The sequence below is a fragment of the Homo sapiens genome, chromosome 10 (assembly GCF_000001405.40).
Source record: "Homo sapiens chromosome 10, GRCh38.p14 Primary Assembly".
Lineage (NCBI taxonomy): Eukaryota > Metazoa > Chordata > Mammalia > Primates > Hominidae > Homo > Homo sapiens.
The window spans coordinates 71,387,271-71,407,331 of NC_000010.11; the positions used below are offsets into that span (position 1 = coordinate 71,387,271).

General features: G+C 51.6%; 1 protein-coding gene across 5 annotated transcripts in view, besides 2 other annotated features; it reads left to right on the forward strand.

The window, feature by feature from the left end:
• Nucleotides 9,169–9,258: a silencer, noted in NCBI's record as "silent region_2464". NCBI's record gives its function as "represses an Ori minimal core promoter by ATAC-STARR-seq in GM12878 lymphoblastoid cells {active_cell/tissue: GM12878}" and the evidence as "EXISTENCE:reporter gene assay evidence [ECO:0000049][PMID:35858748]".
• CDH23 (cadherin related 23) overlaps nt 9,650–20,061 on the forward strand; it is a 419,028-nt gene continuing 408,616 nt past the window's right edge. For all 5 annotated transcript variants that reach the window (NM_022124.6, NM_001171930.2, NM_001171931.2 and 2 more), the window contains exon 1: nt 9,650–10,048. The gene's annotated coding sequence lies outside the window, so the exon portion shown is untranslated. The remainder of the gene's footprint in view (nt 10,049–20,061) is intronic.
• Nucleotides 9,942–10,453: an enhancer, noted in NCBI's record as "H3K4me1 hESC enhancer chr10:73156969-73157480 (GRCh37/hg19 assembly coordinates)". NCBI's record gives its function as "activates a minimal SCP1, AML or CMV promoter by ChIP-STARR-seq in naive H9 embryonic stem cells {active_cell/tissue: H9 hESC(naive)}" and the evidence as "EXISTENCE:reporter gene assay evidence [ECO:0000049][PMID:30033119]".

Sequence of the window (20,061 nt, forward strand, 5' to 3'; positions counted from 1 at the left end):
GTGATCAGCCCGTCTCGGCCTCCCAGATTTTTTTAAAAAATAAAAACAATGCTACTTGCAATAAATACAAGATAACTATTGAAATAAATACAATGATAGCAAAACAGTATTATTAAATACAGCCATAATTGCCTGCCAGAGGCAGAGCGGAAGGCCTGATTCCTTCTGGTTCAAGGAAGAGGGATTATCAAGTGTTAAAAGACATAATAGCACAAATTGAGACTTTCTCCTTTGCTTGTTTGTATACGCTAGGACAGAACTGACAGGGGAATAACTTTCTCACCATGCGATTCAAAGAGGTCACCTGAAGAAAGCTTGCATCTGGCAGAAAGTGACTTGTAGACCACACCGAATGGGCATCCTGTCCTCTGAAGACTGTCACCAGAATGACAGCAAGTTCTTTTGTGGGGTAGTTTGACAGCAGTAGGGCCCAGGGATGGAGGACTGGGCCAGATGATCAAAATCTGCCCCTCTTTTTGGTGGACATTAGGTTTTCTTGTGTGGGACTGATGGGTCGGGGTGGGGTGTGGGGGTTCAGAACAAAAGAGAACAGATTTTGCTTACTGTCCCTGACTATAGGTTGTGGAGACTCTAACTCTGGGTCTGCTTCCCAATAAAAGAAGAAAGTGATCTCTGGACATAAAAAAAAAAAAGACACTTTTCTGGGGGCATTACAAGGAGAATGGGAATTGCCTTCTCCCTGCACCATCATCTACAGTCAGGGCGGGCTCCGTGGATGTGTGACCTGCGCTGTCACATAGAGCCCTGTGTTTGGAAGAGCTCAACACTCGGTTTAATGCTCGATTGTTGCCATCATTCCATGGGATACACACTGGCAGACAAAAAGGAGGCAGACCCTCTGGGGACCATTGTGGAAAGAGCTACAGGACATATCTTAAGAGAAAAAAAAAAGTTATAGACAGTATGTGCAGTATGGCTGTATTTGTCAAAACAAAAAATTCTTAAAATTTTAAAAACAAACACACACACACTTCATTATTCCATTTTCCCTCAACTGGCTGGTTAGTGATACGTCCAATTACCACTCTTCTAGGGTTAGCCTGGAGATGGAGCAGACATCCTTGATTTATTCATGTTTACCAGACACTCCCATTTCTACTCGCTTATTGGACAAGGCGAGGACCTCAGAGCATTCTAACTCCATTTACCCCCTTCCTGCTTATGTGCCATTGGATTGCGTATTTTAATTCTCCCTATATATTTTACACATTAGTTTTATTGTTTTATACAGCCAAGATTCATTTGTATTTACCCGTATTTCCCTTTCTATTGCTCTTGTTTCCTTTCTGAATATCCAAGCTTCCATCTGGGACCACTTTCCTTCTGCCTAAAGCATACCCTTTTGTATTTATTTTTATATTTGAGCCATTCATATGGTTCAAAATTCAAAAGTACAGAAGTGTGTCATGATAGATATCTTTCTCTCCTACCCCTGCCCCTAGCCAAAAACTATACATTTCCATATGCACATAGAACATTCCTTGGAAGGAAATACACCAAATTGAGAACAGTGGTTTGTCTACGTGGTCTGTAATGTTCATGGTGATAATGTGTTCATGTCTCCCATATGCAAAGAAAGAGAAAGTCAGAGACAGGCAGCCAGGAGACCCAGTCTCTTCTGATTGACAGCCTCTCACTGTGTCCTGCTGTGCACGCAGTCATTCTGTTATACGTGGCCTCGTTTGATCTTGGCCACAGCCCTGTGGGACATGAGAGGCAGGGTTCCTCAATCCCAAGTCTCCCATTTTCATGAGCACCTACTATGCCGGGTGCCACTTCATAGTTGCCACGTCACTCAGTCCTCACGACAGCTCTGCTAGTATTGTCGCCATTTTACAGATGAGCAAACTGAGGGAAACAAAAGTTAGGTAATCTGCCCAGGAGGCAGAGCCAGGGTTCAAAGCAAATCCCAACAGTCCAACTCCAGAGCCATGTTATCACAAACCCCATTATACAGCTGAGGAAACTGAGACCCACAGAGGTTGAGCCCTAGGCTCAAAGTCACTAAGTCAGTAGTGGCAGAGCAAGAACTCACATCCATAACTTTTGGGGTTAAAATCCACAACCCTCCCCCTACCAATGTTTTTTTTTTTTCTGCACATTAGAATCATCTGAGGAGCTTTCAGAATGCCATGTTCAGATGTTAAGACCAAAAAAATTGGAATCACTGATTCTATTTTTGTGCCCCCCTCATCTTCCAGGAGTTTCTGAAGTGTAGCCAGGGTGAGAACCACTGTCCTTGCCCACAGGAGAAAGGGCTCAGAGTCAGGCTCTTTGGATTTCATTGGATCCGGACTTTGCCTCTCATTAGCTCTGTGACTTTGGGCACACTGCTTTAACAGTTCTGTGCTGCCTCAGTTTTCTCACCTGTCAGTTTGGATAACTGTAGTGTCTTCCTCACGTGAGGATTGAATGAGACCAGCCGTACAAAGACTTGGAACAGCAGCTAGCACAAGATGAGCTTTAAATAAATCTTACCCTTATTATAGTTGTTATAGTTATTATTATTTTTGCTGTGTGCCTTTGCATAGAACCTGTCCCCCTCTGGGCCTCACTCAGGTCCTCTATGTGTGAGCACACTGTGGGGTTTGGACTGCAGGGTCTTGAACAGTGTCTTCCAGCTCTAATGCGCCTTTGTCGCGATCGGCTGGCTGGGTCTCGGGCCTTCTCCACTTGCCCTCATATTTGTGGAAGCTTGCCCTTTCTCGTGAATGCAGAGGCGGCAACAGGCATGTGCTTGGAGAACCAGAGACCACTTCTGTGGGACGAGTCCAGCCTGTGGTTATGGTATTGATCTTCTCACAGCCAGGATGTGCTGGGCTGTGCAGAGTGGAATTGCCCACTGAGGGGTGGTGGCTGACAAGGTGCCAGCTGCCCCAGAGAGAGGCAGAGGGCCCTGGACGGAGAGTGCCTTGGAGAGGCAGGGCGGGGGCCGAGGCAGAGCTGGGGCTCATGCCCACTTCCTACCAGTGCCCAGGGCACTTGGTGCCAGTCCTTGCCACCAAGTGCCATTCTGCACCAATGCATAATTCATGCCCCCATGTGCCAATCTGTGCCAGCTTTAATTAGCTTCTAACTTTTTGTCATTCATTTTGCTCTGAACACCTTATAAATAAATGATGGGCGAGGGGAGTGGCGAGCAGGGCAGGAATGTGAGGGAAGGACCGTCTTTTCTTCAGCCACAAAAGGGAGGGGTAAGCTTCCAAGGCTGGGCCCAGGGAACCTCATGCCCCTGGGGCTTTCCTGGGGGCCTCCACGCTGCAGAGGGGTGGCCTCAGCCCACATTGTCAGCCTTCCAGCCTGCTCCTCCACAAGCCAAGCTGGGCCGCCACAGCTGTGCCAGGCTCCAAGGGCTCACAAACTAAACTCGGGAGCACACGTCTGGTTTATGGTGGCAGGCGCTGCCCCGGGAGAGGGCGCATAGGCTGGGGACGATGACGGCAGGAAGCAACAAACAGCTCTTTATCAGCTGTGGGGTGGGGGCATGAAAGGGGGAGCAGGAAGGGATGGGGAAGCTGCTATGGAGGAGCCCACAGGAGAGGCGTTTGTGTGCTTTAAAAATAATCATCGACCCTCATGGGGAGGAAAGACTCGTCTGTGAGGGCTGCTCTGTTTTTACAGTTTGTAAAGCACTTTAATGTGTGTTTTTCTCTTTTGATCTGAATGGCAGCCTTGAGAGGTGTTTCAGCACCTGGGAGTTATCATGCCCATTTATAGTTGAGGAACCTGATGCTTGGACCAGTAGGCTAAGACCCATGTGAACCGCAACCTGGTGGAGCGAGCTTTGTGTTGCACCACCCTGCCTCTCTTGCATTCCCCAGGGGCAAGGCAGCAGGGGCAGAAAGCACCCCTGTGGAGGCTGGAAAGCCAAGGTGGAATGGAGTCCAATTCCAGGTGGTTCCAGGGTTTGGCATGTTAAAACAACAGATTTGGATTCCCTCTCTTCTTTGCATCCTCATTCTCTGAGAGTGCCAGTAAGCCAGCTGGTTATTTGGTGTGTGGGGATGCAAAGACATTGAAGGGGAGGTGCCCCTTCCTCCAAGATGTCAGCCCAGGTCACCCTGGGACAATGCACTGTCCCCTCTTCCTCCTGCAGCTGGTCATGCTTTCTACTGTGTATCTGCACCTCCAAGCCTAGCTCCTCCACCTCCAGCATTGCTTGCTGAAAAAAACCTGGGCTCCTCGTGGGGCCCCCACCCCTTCATGGTCTAGCCCTTGCTGCCTCTGCACAGCACACTCCTTGCTTGGTCCAGCCCTATTGCCACACTACTTGAAGTCTGTAAACTGTGTGCTGCCCCTGTGACCTTGCACACACAGTCCCTGCTTCCTCAGATGTCCTTGCTGGTCTTACCTTGCCATGTACCCTTGTCTTTCAAGGCTCTATTTAAGTGGTCTCTCCAGTTTGGGGTCTTCCCTAATCTCCTTGGTTAGAGTGGATTGCACCCTGCTCGGGGTCCCCTCTGTCAATGCTGAATCTAGTCCCAGCCTGAAGGATGGCATCATCCTACTGCTTCCCAACTGTTTCTGTCTCTATCTCTCCAACTGGACTGTAGCTTCTCTGAGGACCAAAATGATGTCATTTGCTCTTTGTGTCCTCGGCACCCAGCCCACAGGCTGGCACACTGTGGGCCCTTCAGGAACATGTGTTAGGTAAATGAACAAACACACAGTCCCTGCCTTCGAGAATCTTAAAATCAAGTGTGCTGTGGACTAAACATGATCTTGAAGCCGCTGTACAGATGTGGCCGCTTCTGGAGATCCCTGGGCAAGATGCCCTGGATATGGAAGGAACTGTATATCACTTTTTTTCTTTCTTTCTCTTTTCTTTTTAATTTTGGGAAAGGGGAGGTAGCATTTCTCTAACAATGCTGACTCTACGCTGCTCTACACTCCCTACTACAATCACCAGAGGAATCATCAGATGGTCTGTACCAGGCAGGGTTCTCATGGTCGCTAGCAACAGAAATGAACTCTGGCTACCTGATGCAAAAATTGAACTCACTAGTTAGTTAACAGGGGCAGATTCAACCAGAAGACTGGAGGACAGGCCCAGACAACAAATAGGAACAAAAGGAGGCTGGTGGCTAAGGATGCAGCTGAAAATACAACCCAGGTCAGGCTTCAGAAGTCCTGGAGTCAGGGCTAGGTGCTTTGCATAGCTTCAAAATGATTCTTGACTGTTTACAAACGTTATGGTCCTTCTCAAGGTTCAAAGTTGAGAGTGGAGCTTCTGACTGGCTTGCCTAGTCATGCACTGTGCCCTGCAGGCAGAAGGCAGGACAAATGAGGACCTCCCTTTTTAGCTTTTGCAATTAAAGCAGGGCCTGGTCTTACCCCTTACTTCATACAGTGGGGGTCCCCCAGTAGGAGTGGGGTTTGGATGATGCTGGGTCCTGGGAAGTTGGCATCTCTGTGGCTCTTCGTGGCTGTCCAAGCGCTTTCATATCCACCCCAGGAGGGAGGCTGGGCAGGCACCATTCTCTCATTTTCAGAAATGGAAACAAGGCACAGAGTGGTTCAGCGACTTGTCCAGGACCACATAAGGTGGCAAGGGGTGCTTCTTTATCACACTGGTGTACTTTCCTTGATGCCCCAGGGGCTTGGAGAGGAGGCAAATGTTTCCTGAGGGAAGGGCTCTAGGGAGAACTTCGAGAGCTGTTGTTGAAACAGCCCTGATACGGTTTCAGGAATGGAAATCCCAGAAAGACAGAAAGGTGAAAACTTAGGTGATTCATCTCCTGGAATGAAGAGATTAGAATTTCTGAGATGCTGGTTCAGAGAATAGAGGCTGGGTTCTTCCCCCCAGCTCTGAGCCTCCTGCAAACGCCATCTCCTGCCTTTGGCTGGTTCATGTGCAGAAGAGCAAGACTGCTGTTCACCTCCGGGATCCAGTAGCTCCCATGGCTGCCTGGGGAGAGTCCCTGTGCATGCCTCCAGGCTTCCGCACATGCTGCTCCTCCACCTGGAGCGCCCTTCTGCTTCTGCTGCCTGTGACCTCCTGGTCAATCTCGGCTCACTGCAGCCAGCTCTGATGTCCCCTTGTCCAGGCAGCCTTTCTGGACTCAAGATTTCATGACAATGAATCACCCCACTCTCCTTTGGGCCATTTGTCCACTTTGCCACACTTACCTTTCTAGGTTGTAACTGATTCATCTGCCCCTCTCTCCCACTGGGAGTGCCTTGAAGACAGGATGGATGTCACTCACATCTGTGTCCCCGGTGTGCGGTGCTGGCCTGTTCCCCTCAGGGCCATTCTCTCCTCCCCTCTGTGGTGCTGCTCTGCATCACAGCAGGCTGACCCCGCAAACTCCCAGGTCCACTGTCTTCAGGTGGGAGACGAGAGGGCTGGGGAAAGAAGCCGGGATGTGTCTTCACACTCCACCGTCTCTGGCAGTAGCTGTGTTTCTGTGACTCGAGCCCACACCACACAGGCCCACTGTGGTCTCACCTTCCACCGTGTGCCCTGATCCTGGTCACTCTGCTTCCTCCCTTATCCCTCCAGTCTAGGGGTGGCACACTTTCTGCTGTTGCTGCACTCTGGGTCGCCTCGCCATCCAGTTAGAATTCTCAGCCCTTCCATTCCCTGTCTGTTACACACTCACGGTGGTTCTGTGGGCTGGCTGCATCCCAACTGACACCCCAGTTCCCAGCACGGTGCTTGGCACAGTGTGTAACAGAAGGTTTGAGGGGTGGAGAACCTTGAAGAACACCTCTTCTCATGCTTTCATTTTACGAATGGGGAACACAAGGCCAAGAGAGGTCCAGTGTCCAGCCCGCTACCATCCAGCTAGAGGGTGACCTAGAACTCAGATCCCGCTCTCCGGACTCCTGGCTCCATCACACTGTGTAAAAGCATGACCACCTAAGACATGTAGGACCACGACTCCAGTTCATTTGTCCAAGAGCCTACTTGGCATCTCTGTTCTGTGACTGCACAGGCCTCTCACACAACATGTCCCAAGGGAGCTCTTGCTCAGGTCTCCATAGTGGCCTCCTCAGAGGGCCCCATCACAGGAAACAGCACACTGTCCATCTACCACCACAAGCCAGAAACCCAGAAGTCTCCTTGACCCTTTGCTCTATCTCACGTATAACCACTCCCTGTCCTCCTGGCCCTGTAGATTTTTACCTCCTGAAAGTCACTTCTCTCCACTTCTACCCACCCCCTCATTCCAGGCCTCTGTCACCAATCACCTAGACACTGCAGCAGCCTGAGGACATGTAAGCTTCACCAGGGCAAGGATTTGTTTGGCGCAAGCATGCGTGTCTGTGTGCATGTGTGTGTGCCTGTGTGTGTGTGCTTGTGTGTGTTGTTCATTGACATATCCAAAGTGTCTAAATTCACAGGGGTTAACTAACGTTTTCTGTAAAGGGCCAGGCTGTAAATATTTCTTGTTTTTGCAGGCCATGCGGTCCCTCTTGAAATTCCTTATGTCTGTAGTTGTAGTGTGAAAGGAGACACAACCAAACAGGCCATGTCTGTGTGCCACTAAAACTTTCTTTACAAAAACATGTGATGAGGCAGATTTGACCTCTGGGTAGCGGTGTGCTCACCCCTGGTCTAGAAAATTTCTTGGCACATAGTATTTGACAAATAAATACTTTTAATTGAAGCAGTCTCTTCTCATCAACTGTTGCCTCCCAATCAATTCTCTCTCTCTCTTATTTTTTTTTAGATAGAGTCTTAGTGATCCTACTGCCTCAGCCTCCCAAAATGCTGCCATTATAGGTGTCAGCCACCAAGCCCGGCCTCTGAAGCTTTCAGTCTTAGGATAAAGATCAACTCCTGATTAAGGCCAACACACCTGCACAGTCTGGCCCCCACTCCATTGTGGCTTTACAGTCACTGCCAAGGACTAGAGGGACCACTCAGTGACTCGGATCAGAGAGGGGGTGCTTAAAGCCAACAGATGGTGCAGGCTCACTCACCCTCCCAAGCTTCCCAGGAGCGTTTCCTCGTACGCTGGAGGCACGGAGCTCTCCCCACCCTTTCTGGACTTCCTGACATATGCCAGCTCCTTCCCACCTTTGCACAAGTTGATTGCGACTGCGGTCACCAAACCATTGTTCCTGGCCCAGCCGTTGCCTGCAGTGGGCACCTGGGGCCTTTGCACATGCTGTTTCTCCTGCCTAAAACTCCACTCTCTCTCCCTTGCTCATCCTTCAGCTCAGTCACCTCCTCTAGGAGGTCTTCCCTGATCCCCTCGGCCAGGCGCCATTAAAGCACTCTTCTTCCTAGCACTGATTCTGGCTGTAATTTTACCTGCTTATGTGTTTCATTGATGAATGTCTGGTTCCCCTACTAGAGAAGCTTCATGGGGCACAAAGACCAAGCCTGTTTTGTTCTCCATCCTATTCCTAGAAACTATTTCAGTTAGCTAGCACATAGCAGTGACTGTGAATGAATGAATGAATAATGAATGAGCGAATGGTAAGGAACTGGAGCTTTGGAACCAGATAGATTCTGGGTTCAATACCCGACTCCACCACAGGGGCAAGTCCCCAACCTCCTAAAGCCTGTTTCTCACTGTAAAACTGGGATAATGGCAGGGCCCACCAGAAAGACTTTATTGAAGATAGAATGAGTTGAGGCCCAGAAAGTCTCAGCCCAGAGCCTGGCTCCAGGCAGGTACTGTCAATGTACTGACTGGAACAGTGACAGCTCGGAAATCCTGTCATGTGAGAAATAGTTTTAAAAAATCAGAATGCTTAGCCCCGGGGAAGTAAAGATCAAAGGTAGGGGATAAACCTCTTCCATTACCTGCATATGGACCCTTTCTTGATCCAGCTGTCTCAGAAAGCCATAAAGTCTCTGTCCCTATAGGTGTGCAAAAAGGAGCCGGGAGACCATGACTCGGGCACTGCAGACGGAGCTCCCGCAGGGGTGAGGGCGCCTAAGTGACCTCACGGGTCTCCTCCAACCCGGGGTCCTCCATTTCTAAGCACTTGGAGGCCTCTTGAGCTCTAGTGAGGGAGGAGGCGCAGATGGGAGCGCACGAGTCGGGTGGGCAAAGGCAGCTGGTTGGAGAGAAGCGTAGGCCAAGAGGCCCCAAGGACTAGAGGGACTGCTCAGCGACTCTGGGAGCAGAGAGGGGGCGCTTAAAGCCAACAGATGGCGCGGGCTCACCTAGGCCGAGCGCCCGCTCGCCCGCCCGGGCTTCCCGGGAGCGTTACCTCGCTCTGCCTGAGGCGCGGGGCGGACGAGACGCTGGGGGCCCCATCCCCCTGCGCGCCCCTCTGCGGGACGGCTGGCGGCCTGGCGGGGCACTGCTCTGTCTCGCACCTGGGGCCTCTTCCGCGGGCTTCCTCCCTGCCCCTTTGGGGGATTCGTAGAGTTGCCACAGCAGCCGGTGCCATGACATCGGCAGAGGGCAGCTTCGCCAGCACTGAAATATTCATGCCCTGAGCGCCCGGCGGGGCTCGGCGCCGCTCCCGGGGGTCCGGGCGGGGCCGGGCGGGAGCTCGGGGGTCCTGGCGGCCTGAGGGGTGGGGGAGCGCCGAGCGCGGGCGGGCGGGCGGGGGCCGGGCGAGGCGGGAGGTGAGGGAGGGAGCTGCGGGAGGCGGGGTCTGGACGGCGGGGGCCGAGCGGGGCGGGGGCCGAGCGGGGCGGGGGAAGCAAGGGAAAGTTGATCGCGGACTTGAGCGGCGGCGGCGGCTCGGGAGAGAGGGACGCGGGCTGCAGGCGCGATGCTTGGCTAGAGGACGCGTCCGACGGCGGCCGGACGCTGAGGTGGTCGGGGCTAGTCAGCCCGGCCTGGGCATGGAGCGCGGGGTGGCAGAGCCTCTGGACGTTTGGGGCGCGCCCAGTCCGAGCCCCCGGCGCGCCTGAAGTTGCGAGCGGCGAGCGGCGAGCGGCGAGCGGCCCGCGGAGACCCAGGAGCTGCCGGCACGCCGCGGATGAGCCTTCGCGCCGGCGGGAAGACGCGGCGGTGGCCAGGGCCAGAGCAGGCGGCCCGCGGGGGCCGATCCGGCGGAGAGCAGAGCCCGAGGCGAGGCGAGGCGCGGCGCCGCTGCACACACGCACACGGTACCCGGAGCCACGCACCGCCTCTTCCCTCCTCGCTTCCCTCTCCTTCCCCTCGCCGTTCGCCCGCCGCGCGGCGGGGAAGTTGGTGGTGACCGCGGCTGCCGAACCACTTGTTCCCAGCGCGGCCATCGCCCGTGGCGGGCGCTCGCGGCATCCTTCGGTCCCAGGCCCCTGGCCCTAGCCTCGCGCCCCGCTCCGAGCTCCCCGACGCGCGGCAACTTTGATTCCTGGGAACTCGAATTCCATTCGCGTTGGCCTTGGGAGGACAGGCATCCCATCCCCCATCCCCGGTCCTGGGACCGCGAACATTTGGGGGCTTTGCTCTCGGCGCTACGGAGAGGGTCCAGGTCTGGGGTGGAGAGATTTTCGAGAGTGGAGCGCGTTGGGATCCAATCCCCTCCCCTTCTGAGCCCTGGGTCCCCATTTGGACAGTGGGGATGGGGTGGGGCGCACCCCTACTGCGGGCTGGGCAGAGGCGCTGAGGGGAACTAAAGGCACGTAGTTCTCCCCTCCCCTCATCAAGTCCCTGTGCCCGCGGGAGACCCCAGGGGACTTACACATCCTCCCAAATTCGGTCCAGCTATGGGAAGACGCGCCCCTCGAGGAGCCGGGAGCCTTTTGCGGCTCTCGCTTCGCCTTCCTGGCCCTGGAACTGGTCCGCTACGAGCGGTGCTGGCTGCCCCCAGGAGCTGGCACCCGGGAGCACTGCCCCTCATCTCCACCGTAGGTCAGCCCAGGACTCGAGCAGAGCCCGCGTGTTCCAAGGCAGTGACGGCGCCAGCCGGCGGGGACTCTGCCTGGCTTTCTCGGAGCGGGCACCTAGAGAGGCTGCCTCCGTGCTGTGAGCGGAGATCCGATGCCAGCCGCCGCCCCACTGCGACCCCAGCCCCAGCCCTAGTGCTGTCAGCGGTCCACTGGGAGGAAATTAGCCTTTCCTCGGTAGTAATACTCCCCCATCCTCCCTAGTAATTCAGAAAGCAGAGCCTTCTTTTTCTACGTCCTTTGCCCTCTCAGACCAGAGCTGGCATTGACATTGACCTCGCCTTCCAGCCCCTTGGGAAGTGCCCCAACCCTAATTTGGATTTTGAAATAAGCTAGAGAGACACAGGAGTGTGTGTGTGTGTGTGTGTGTGTGTGTGTGTGTGTGTGTGTGTGTGTTGGGTGGAGTCAGACCCTCACACAGGGAAGAATTAGGTTGTGGGGTGTGGGGTGGGGCGGGCTTTAAGAACCTAGTTGGGGCCAGTTGCATGGTGATGATGAGTCAGCCCACGATGGGGAGAGCTGGCTTGGAGTTAGTGCTTGGTTCGTGGTGCAGGGGTAGGCGCACTGCGGTCAGCACCTACAGGGGTGGGGGCACTAGATGTTACTCTGCCAAGGAGGAGCTGGGAAGGGGCCCCTTGCCTGGGGGAATAGCAAGGCTTGGTTCTGGCTGCCAGGGCTGGGGAGGGCAGGAAGGCAGAGTGTCTCGTGGTAGAGGGTGGGTGTCCCCCGTGAGTTGGGAAGGTGGCACACAGAAGCCACTGGTGTGAACCAGGAAGCTCTGCCTCGAGTGCTGGAGGACAGCAGTGAGGGGTGGGAGGCCCAGAGCTAGCATCCTGGCCCCGTCTGTGCTGGGTCCGCATATACTTCTCAGACTTGGCCTTCCTCACCTCTAAACAGCTGGGCTCCTCACGTCTGCTTACCAAAGGGCTTGATTTGAGGGTTGTGATAGCAGATGGTCCTGGTTGCCTCTGGAATAGCTCCCCCACTCAACAAGCTACCTTACCTGCAGTTTCACCATTTGAGGTTCATTTATTTGAGCCAAGTATTTTAAAGGGCACCTTCCTGAAGTGCTCATTTAAAATGCACATTCTTCTGGGAGGTGAAGGTGTAGCGGAACCTTGCTCCTCAGAGTGTGGCCTGTGGACATGCAGCGTCGGCATCACCTGGGGACTTGTTAGAAATGCAGACTCTTGGGCCCCACCCCAGACCTTCTGAATCAGAATCTGCATTTGGTAAGATCCTTGGGTGACTCATGTGCTCAGTAAAGTTTGAGCTGTGGTCCACAGTGCCTTCTCTAAGAGGCATTGCATAGTTCCTTGGTGCAGAGTGTTGTATAGGGCAGTGGATAAGAACACAGAGATGAGAATGAGATTGGAGCTTCTCTCTTTGGCCAGTTTTGCTAGGCTCGGATTAATAGTCCACCACTGGCCCCTTCGGGTTGTACCATGCTAATGCCACAAGAGTGTTTGTGTTTTAGGGTTTTTTAAATAGATTAGAATAACATCTCAGCTTTGTGTGCAGTCAAAACTGTACATGGAACTGGGTGCAGTGGTGAACTCCTATAGTCCCAGCTAATGGGGAGGCTGAGGCAACAGGATTGCTAGAGCCCAGGAGTTCAAGGCTGTAGTGTGCTAGGACCGTGCTTGTGAATAGCCACTGTACTCCAGGCTGGGCAATATAATGAGACCCTGTCTCTAAAGAAAACCAACAAAAACCCCTGCACATGGGCCAGAAAGAGGTGAGTGGAGGGGGCAGGGTTTCCGGAAGCTGGGTGTACACACTCTGCCTCTAGGACGCCTGAGACGGAGACTAGATGCTGTCCCTCAAGCAGAAGGAATTGAGCAACTACTCTCCACCTCATCTGCCCCTCCCAGATGGGTGGATCAGCCAATTAATAACACCTCTCAGCGGCCTTAGGACTTATGCAGAGGGGAGGAGCATGAGAGCCAATTTGGAACAGCCTCCAGAGGGGAAGATACTGACCAAGCTCTCCCCTGACCCCAGCCTGGACTGGACATCCCACTTCTACTGCCCTAAGGTGGTTCGAGGCCTCTAGCTTCAAGATACAGGGATGATGCCGAGGCATGGTGGCAAGTTATACCCCTGGTCCTCTGGATGATGACCCTGAAGGCATCAAGGCTGGCCTGAGAGTAGGAGATTTGAAACACTGCTGGAGAGATTTGGATCAGAGGCCTGGTGTAGCCGATGGTGTCACAGGTGAAAGGTCATCGCATGGCTCAGGCATCCCACCCTGCCCAAAGAGGCAGTCCTTCCCCTAAGCTAGCCTCTTTCCCAGAGAGAGGGCAGCTCTGCCAGGGGACAAGGTGATGAGGAGGAACTATGGGAGACACAGTCATGGGCCTTACAAAGAGCGAGCTAATGTGAAGACATTCAGACATCGATTTGAAAATCAGTGAGTTCAAAAATAGTTAGGTTAGGCTGGGTGCAGTGGCTCACACCTATAATCCTAGCACTTTCGGAGGCCAAGGCAGGTGGATCACTTGAGGCCAGGAGTTTGAGACCAGCTTGGCCAGCATGGTGAAACCTGGCTCTACTAAAAATACAAAAATTACCCAGACGTGGTGGTGGGCACCTGTAATCCCAGCTACGTGAGAGGCTGAGGAAGGAGAATCGCTTGAACCTGGACCATGGAGGTTGCAGTGAGCCGAGATCATGCCACTGCATTCCAGCCTGGGCGACAGAGTGAGACTCCATCTCAAAATCAATCAATCAATAAAAATAATAGAAATTTAAAAATAACTAGGTTAATAAGTCTCACTGTTTTCTTGAACCCCCAGGTCTTAATGTGTAAAGATGATTGTAAAAATTGACCTAATTTCCCATTGAACTCATTGTTTTCAAATTCAGTTTTAGTTGTTTTTTAAACATTGTATTTTATTTTATTTTGAGCCTTGCTTTGGGTTCCTCTTGGCGCTGGGGCAATCCTGTTTGTCCATGAATAGATGAGCAAGGTCATTTACAAGTCGAACCCTACTGGATAGGTTATTTCAGGGTGGGAGTACTTTTGCCCTCAGTAGAGAAGTGCAGATCAGATTGGGTTCTTCTGTATTCCAGCCTCCTGTGCATAATGTGGGTGACACTGACGCTGCTCAGGAGTCGTCAACTCCAGGAAGCCCTCCTGAGTCCTCGGGTGGGGTGGCTGGTGCGGGTGGGCTGCCCCTCCAGCCTGTGCCTCCCTCGCTCACGGTCCTTCCTTGGTGCTTCTTACCATTCTGCATGGCTCTGGCCTCTCAGTAGCCACTGAGCTCCTCCAGGGCACAGGCTGCATCTTTTTCCTCCACACTAGTGGAGTAGTTGGTGCTCAGTAACTGTTCATTGACCCAATGGCTTATCCCTGGGTGATGGTTCTCTTACCTTCTCCAGCCCTATTCTTAAGTGATCATTAACACACCAACCGTTTGCTGTGCCTATATCCAGTTTTAACTCTTCATGGTGGTACTTTCCAGATGGGTGGTGAATGTCCACCTTGCTGTACTCTGGACTCTAGGCATCTGCTCTCGGACATTTGCATGCCTAGAGAGGTGAGGATGCAGACAAAAGAGTAAAGCATGTAACACAATAGGGAGTGGTGGGGACTGGGGAGAACTGAAAAGCATAGGCCCCATAGAGAAGGGGCAAAACCCATCTACGTGATGGAAGTCAGAATAATGGTTATTCCCGGGGGCATAATGACTGGGGCACAGGGGTGCTGCTGGCGTGCTGCACATTTCTAATGCTTGATCTGAATGTCTGCAACAGTGGTGAATGATCATTTTTGCAAAAGAGCCAATTCGGAAAACATTAGAACATTTATAGGCCATGTTTATTTGGATTCAACATGAAAATGGCTTTATTGAATCCCATAGGGCAGAAAATGCATATTCTTACCAACCTCATTGACGAGAAAGGTGTCAGCCAGAAAACTGGCATATTTAAAACGTAGCCACATGGAGACAGTTTTCTAGTCTTTCAGTGTGAAAGTTGATCAGGATCTGTCAATGGTGAGTGGGGTGGGCCGCTGCTGCCGCCCACAGCTCCATATATTTGGGGCCTCAGGGTTTGCGGTCTTGGGGCCCTGTGTCACCTCGATAATAAATGTTGGCATAGCTCAATGTATTGGTGAGGGGAATGGGAATATCAGACAGCCCTTCTCAGCCTCAGGGGCTGCAGGCTGTGTTGCTGAGAGTGACACAGCAGGTTCAGTTTTAGCATTCATATTTTTTACATATTCTAAAACCCCAGGCAAGTGTTGGTTATTATTATGATCATAATGCATTCACTTCGTGATTTTCATAAGGCAGTTTGCAGGCCGACAGACTTGATATTGAGCACCAGTTCTTCCACTAGAGCTCTGAAGCCTTGGGTCTGGCTTAGTTTTCTCATCTGTAAAATGGGAATAATTTTTCAATTGCCCTATAGGCTTGCTATGAGCATTAATGAGAGGACAACTTTACAAGGCATTGTGTAGTACCTGGCGCACAGTATACATGCAAAATGTAGTAGCTTTTATTGTATCCCTTTGACTTACTTATATGTTAGGCACATTGTATTCTAGTAAAGAGGTGAAAACTCTTCTTATTTTCAGAGCTTGACAATCTATACATTCATAAATTGAATTCTTCCTGAGTGTGTGTGTGTGTGTGTGTGTGTGTGTGTGTGTGTGTGCACGCGCGCGCGCGCACATGCGCGTTGGATGGGGGTTGTTGTGGTTTTTCTTTTGTAATTACTTACTGATAACATTTAAAAATCCAGCTGGCCAGGCGTGGTGGCTCACGCCTGTAATCCCAGCACTTTGGGAGACTGAGGTGGGTGGATCACGAGGTCAGCAGATCGAGACCATCCTGGCTAACACGGTGAAACCACGTCTCTACTAAAAATACAGAAAAAAAAAATTAGCCGAGCGTGGTGGCGGGTGCCTGTAGTCCCAGCTACTCGGGAGGCTGAGGCAGGAGAATGGGGTGAACCCAGGAGGCGGAGCTTGCAGTGAGCCGAGATCGCGCCACTGCACTCCAGCCTGGGCGACAGAGCCAGACTCCATCTCAAAAGAACCAAAAAACAAAAAACAACAACCAAAAAAAAACAAATCCAGCAGTCTGTATAAACATCTAGACTTCTGGCATTGCTGATTAGAACTGGCAACATTGTGTCCATGTTCCCAATCAACAGTTGAACAGTTGTTGGTTGGAGCTGAGTTGCCGGTACCCCTTTCATTTGCTTGCTTTCTCTTTCTCTTTCTTCCTTCCTTCCTTTCTTTCTTTCTTTCTTTCTTTCTTTCTTTCTTTCTTTCTTTCTTTCTTTCTTTCTTTCTTTCTTTCTTTCTTTCTTTCTCTTCCTTCCTTCCTTCCTTCCTTCCTTCCTTCCTTCCTTCCTTCCTTTCCTTCCTTCCTTCCTTCCTTCCTTCCTTCCTTCCTTCCTTCCTTCCTTCCTTTCTTTCCTTCTTTCTTTCTTTTTTTTTTTGATGGAGTCTCTCTCTTTCGCCAACCTGGAGTGCAGTGGCGCAATCTCAGCTTACTGCAACCTCCGCCTCCCGGATTCAAGTGATTCTCCTGCCTCAGCCTCCCAAGTAGCTGGGACTACAGGTGCACACCACCACGCCCAGCTAATTTTTGTATTTTTAGTAGAAACGGGGTTTCACCATGTTTACCGGGATGGTCTCAACCTCTTGACCTCGTAATCTGCCCACCTCGGCCTCCCAAAGTGCTGTTTTCTTTTAAAAATTATTTAATGGGCCAGGCACAGTGGCTCATGCCTGTAATCCCAGTACTTTGGGAGGCCGAGGTGGGTGGATCATTTGAGGTCAGGAGCTAGAGACCAGCCTGACCAACATGGTGAAACCCCGTCTCTACTAAAAACGTAAAACATTTAGCTGGGCATGGTGGCACATGCCTGCAGTCCCAGTTTTTCGGAAAACTGAGGCAGGAGAATCTCTTCAACCCGGGAGGCAGAGGTTGCCATGAGCCGAGATCGTGCCACTGCACTCCAGCCTGGGCGGCAGAGCAAGACCCTGTCTCAAAAAAATAAATAAATAAATAAATTCACGGAAGAATACATACATAAAATAATGTCAACAGATCTTAAGTGGAAGTGGTGAATTTTCGCATATATATACACCTGTGTAACCGCCTCACTGCCATGGAGATACAGAACATCTCCAGTGCCTTGGCAGGCTCTCTTATGCCCCCTCCCACCCCATGTTATCCCACTCCAGAAGTAACTACTCTTCTGACTTCACTCTGATTTATGTCGCCCCTGTGAGTTTTGCCTGCAGCTGCCTTTTAAATTTACGTGAGCCTGCAGCTTGCAGTTCTCCACAGTCCCGACCATTCCCTATTGCCTCACTTTGGACCCCACTTTATTCATTTCCGATACCCCCTTGCTCCTTTAGCCATTTGAGTTTGTGACCTGTACTCAAGGTCTGGAAGTGTTCTCAGAGACCAGCTAGTCTTACCATTTTACAAGTGGTGAAACTGAGACTTGGAGTCAGAGAGTAAGCTTGTTCAAGGAACCCAGATGAAGCTGAGCCTGAATGCTGGCCAGTCAAGGGCAGAGCCCTGCTCTTCCCGCTCCAGCACAAGGAGTGTTGAGGAGGGCGGGCATGCCTTGTCTTTCAGACCCCAGCAGCCCCGGGCCTGGCCCTGCAATCAGCCACCCAGAGCCTGCCACAGGCCAATCAGCCGAAGAGGGTGGGAGTTTTTTTCTAGCCTGTGTCTTCCTGGAGATGCATCTTCCTTGAGGCAGGCGGTTAGCGATATCACCTTCCTCTTTAAAGGCCATGCTCCATTTGGAGAGGACCTGAGATGCCATTTGTGACAAGGGCCATGCACACCACCTTGATTGTGTCTGTTTCTGAAAGAAGGCTGTAATTTGGGAGCCAGCGAAAGCAAGGGAGGGAGGGAAGTAGAGGAGAGAGCAAGAGAGAGTGGGAGGGCAGAAAGGGAAAACAAAAAGGGCAGCCGCGACTCTGTCTGGGTTTCCATTTGTATCACTAATTCTGTCCCCGAGGAATGCTGGCTTTCCCTGGCTTCGGGTTAGTGTGGGCTGAGTCCCTCTGAGGGATGCCCTTTAGCTCTGCCCACTTTTCTTCTGTTCTTTGCCTACACAGACAGGAGATTAGCCATCCTGCCCTGGCTTATAAGGGACTTTATTCTCCTCCAGCACCCCATGTTCCTTCTCCTGCTCCGAACTGCCCCTGGCCCGGGAGGAGGCTGATCTTGCCCTTCTTTCCTGGAGCCAGGATCACTGATGTCATCTCCAGGGAACCAGTGGCAATGGAACTCTGGGCTAGACCTTTCTCAGACACTCTATGGGGGCCTAAGGCTTTGTCTTAGAGGGTGAGGCATGGGTAGACTATCTTTTTTTTTTTTTTTTTTTGAGACAGTGTCTCTCCCTGTCGCCCGGACTGGAATGAGTACAGTGGTGCAATCTCGGCTCACTGCAACCGCCACCTCCCAGATTCAAACAATTCTCCTGCTTCAGCCTCCCAAGTAGCTGGGACTACAGGTGCATGCCATCACGCCAGGCTAATTTTTGTATTTTTAGTAGAGATGGGATTTCACCATGTTGGCCAGGCTGGTCTTGAACTCCTGACCTCAGGTGATCCACCTGCCTTGGCCTCCCAAAGTGCTGGGATTATAGGCATGAGCCATCGTGCCCAGCCACGGATGGACTTTCACTAGAAAACCAGAACATAACTGGGTGGTGGGGTGGGGGATCCTTCCAAACCCATCCTGTCTGTGCTTTAAGATCTCACATCTACTGTTGGGGAGGCCATTCCTCAGCCAATACTGAGCATCACCTGTGTCCCAACCTCCGTCTAGTTGGTGGGACTTCAAGCTGAGAGTCCACAGCTGCACTGCCCAGTAGAAAAATAATGCAAGCCACATGTGCAGTTTTAAATTTTCTAGTGTCCACTTGGAAAAAGTTAAAAAAAGCAGGTAATTTTTTTTTTTTTTTGAGGCAAGGTCTTTCTCTGTCGCCCAGGCTAGAGTGCAGTGGTGAGATCACAGTTCATTGCAGCCTTGACCTCCTGGGCTCAAGTGATCTTCCCACCTGAGCCTCCCAAGATGTGTCTCCCTATCTCTGTGCTCTTTCTGTGAGAAGGATAAGTATTAAATTCATCTTTCTGTTGCTTTTTGCTTTTGGGAGTTTTCCAAGCAGGGAGTGACACAGCCTAGAAAGCTAAGGAAGTTGCAGCAACGTGGAGTGTTTGAGGCTTTCCTCTGGGGAAGAGGGTCTGGCCTGTCCACAGCAGAGGGGGCTTGGATGCCAGAGTATCATGGGCACTTAGCAGACCTGGGGCAATCTCTGGGGGCAGAAGCCCTGGGGCCAGGTAAATGCAAACTTTCCATGCTGTCTGCACTTCTCCTGTGATATACCCTGGGCCAAGGGTGTCAGGGTTCCCCCAGGAGGCATTCAGGTGGCTCCAGGGTCCAGACAACTGGGAAGACACTGTGGCAAACTGCACATACTTACCTCGGCTAATGGGGGCCCCTGCTACTGTTTGGTCTATGTTGCTAAGCAGCAGTACAGAACAGCTTTTAGGCTTGCCGGACACTTTGATTTTTCAAAAGAATCTAAACATCGAGATTAAAAAAAAATCTTTCTATTTGAGATGTTAGCAACGAATTTAATATTTGAAAACACAGCGAGGCCATTCATTCATTTAGGAAATAGTCATTGAACCCTTACTGTGTGTCAGGTGCTGTTCTAGGCCCTTGGGGCCCATCAGTGGCCCCTACCCTTGTGAAGTGTCTATGGTAGGGAAAACCCTTTGGCAAGCTGCATGTGGCCCATAGATGGCCAGTTTATGACCATAGACTTAGTGTCAGAGCTGACAGTAGTAATGAGAAACATTTATTAAGTACTGTGTGCCAGGCCCTGAGCTTAGCACTTCATCTAAAATACCTCACTTAGTCCTTACAACAACCCTACGAATTAGGGTCAGCTGTTACTCTTATGTTACAGGTGAGAAATATGAGGCACAGAGAGGTTACGCAATTTGCCCAAAGTCACATAGCTTGCAGGCGGTGAGGCAGATTTTTGCATGAAGGCAGTCTGATTCCTTGATCATTACTTTGTACTGCACTTACAGAAGGCCAGAGCCAAACCTTTCACTATACAGATGGAAACTGAACTCAAGAAAGGACAAAAGTCCCACCTGGGATCCACAGAGAGGCAATGACAGAGCTGGGGCTGGGTTCTGGGACACCCCCTTTCTATCCAGCCCTGCCAGGTGTGTTTATTACAGTCCT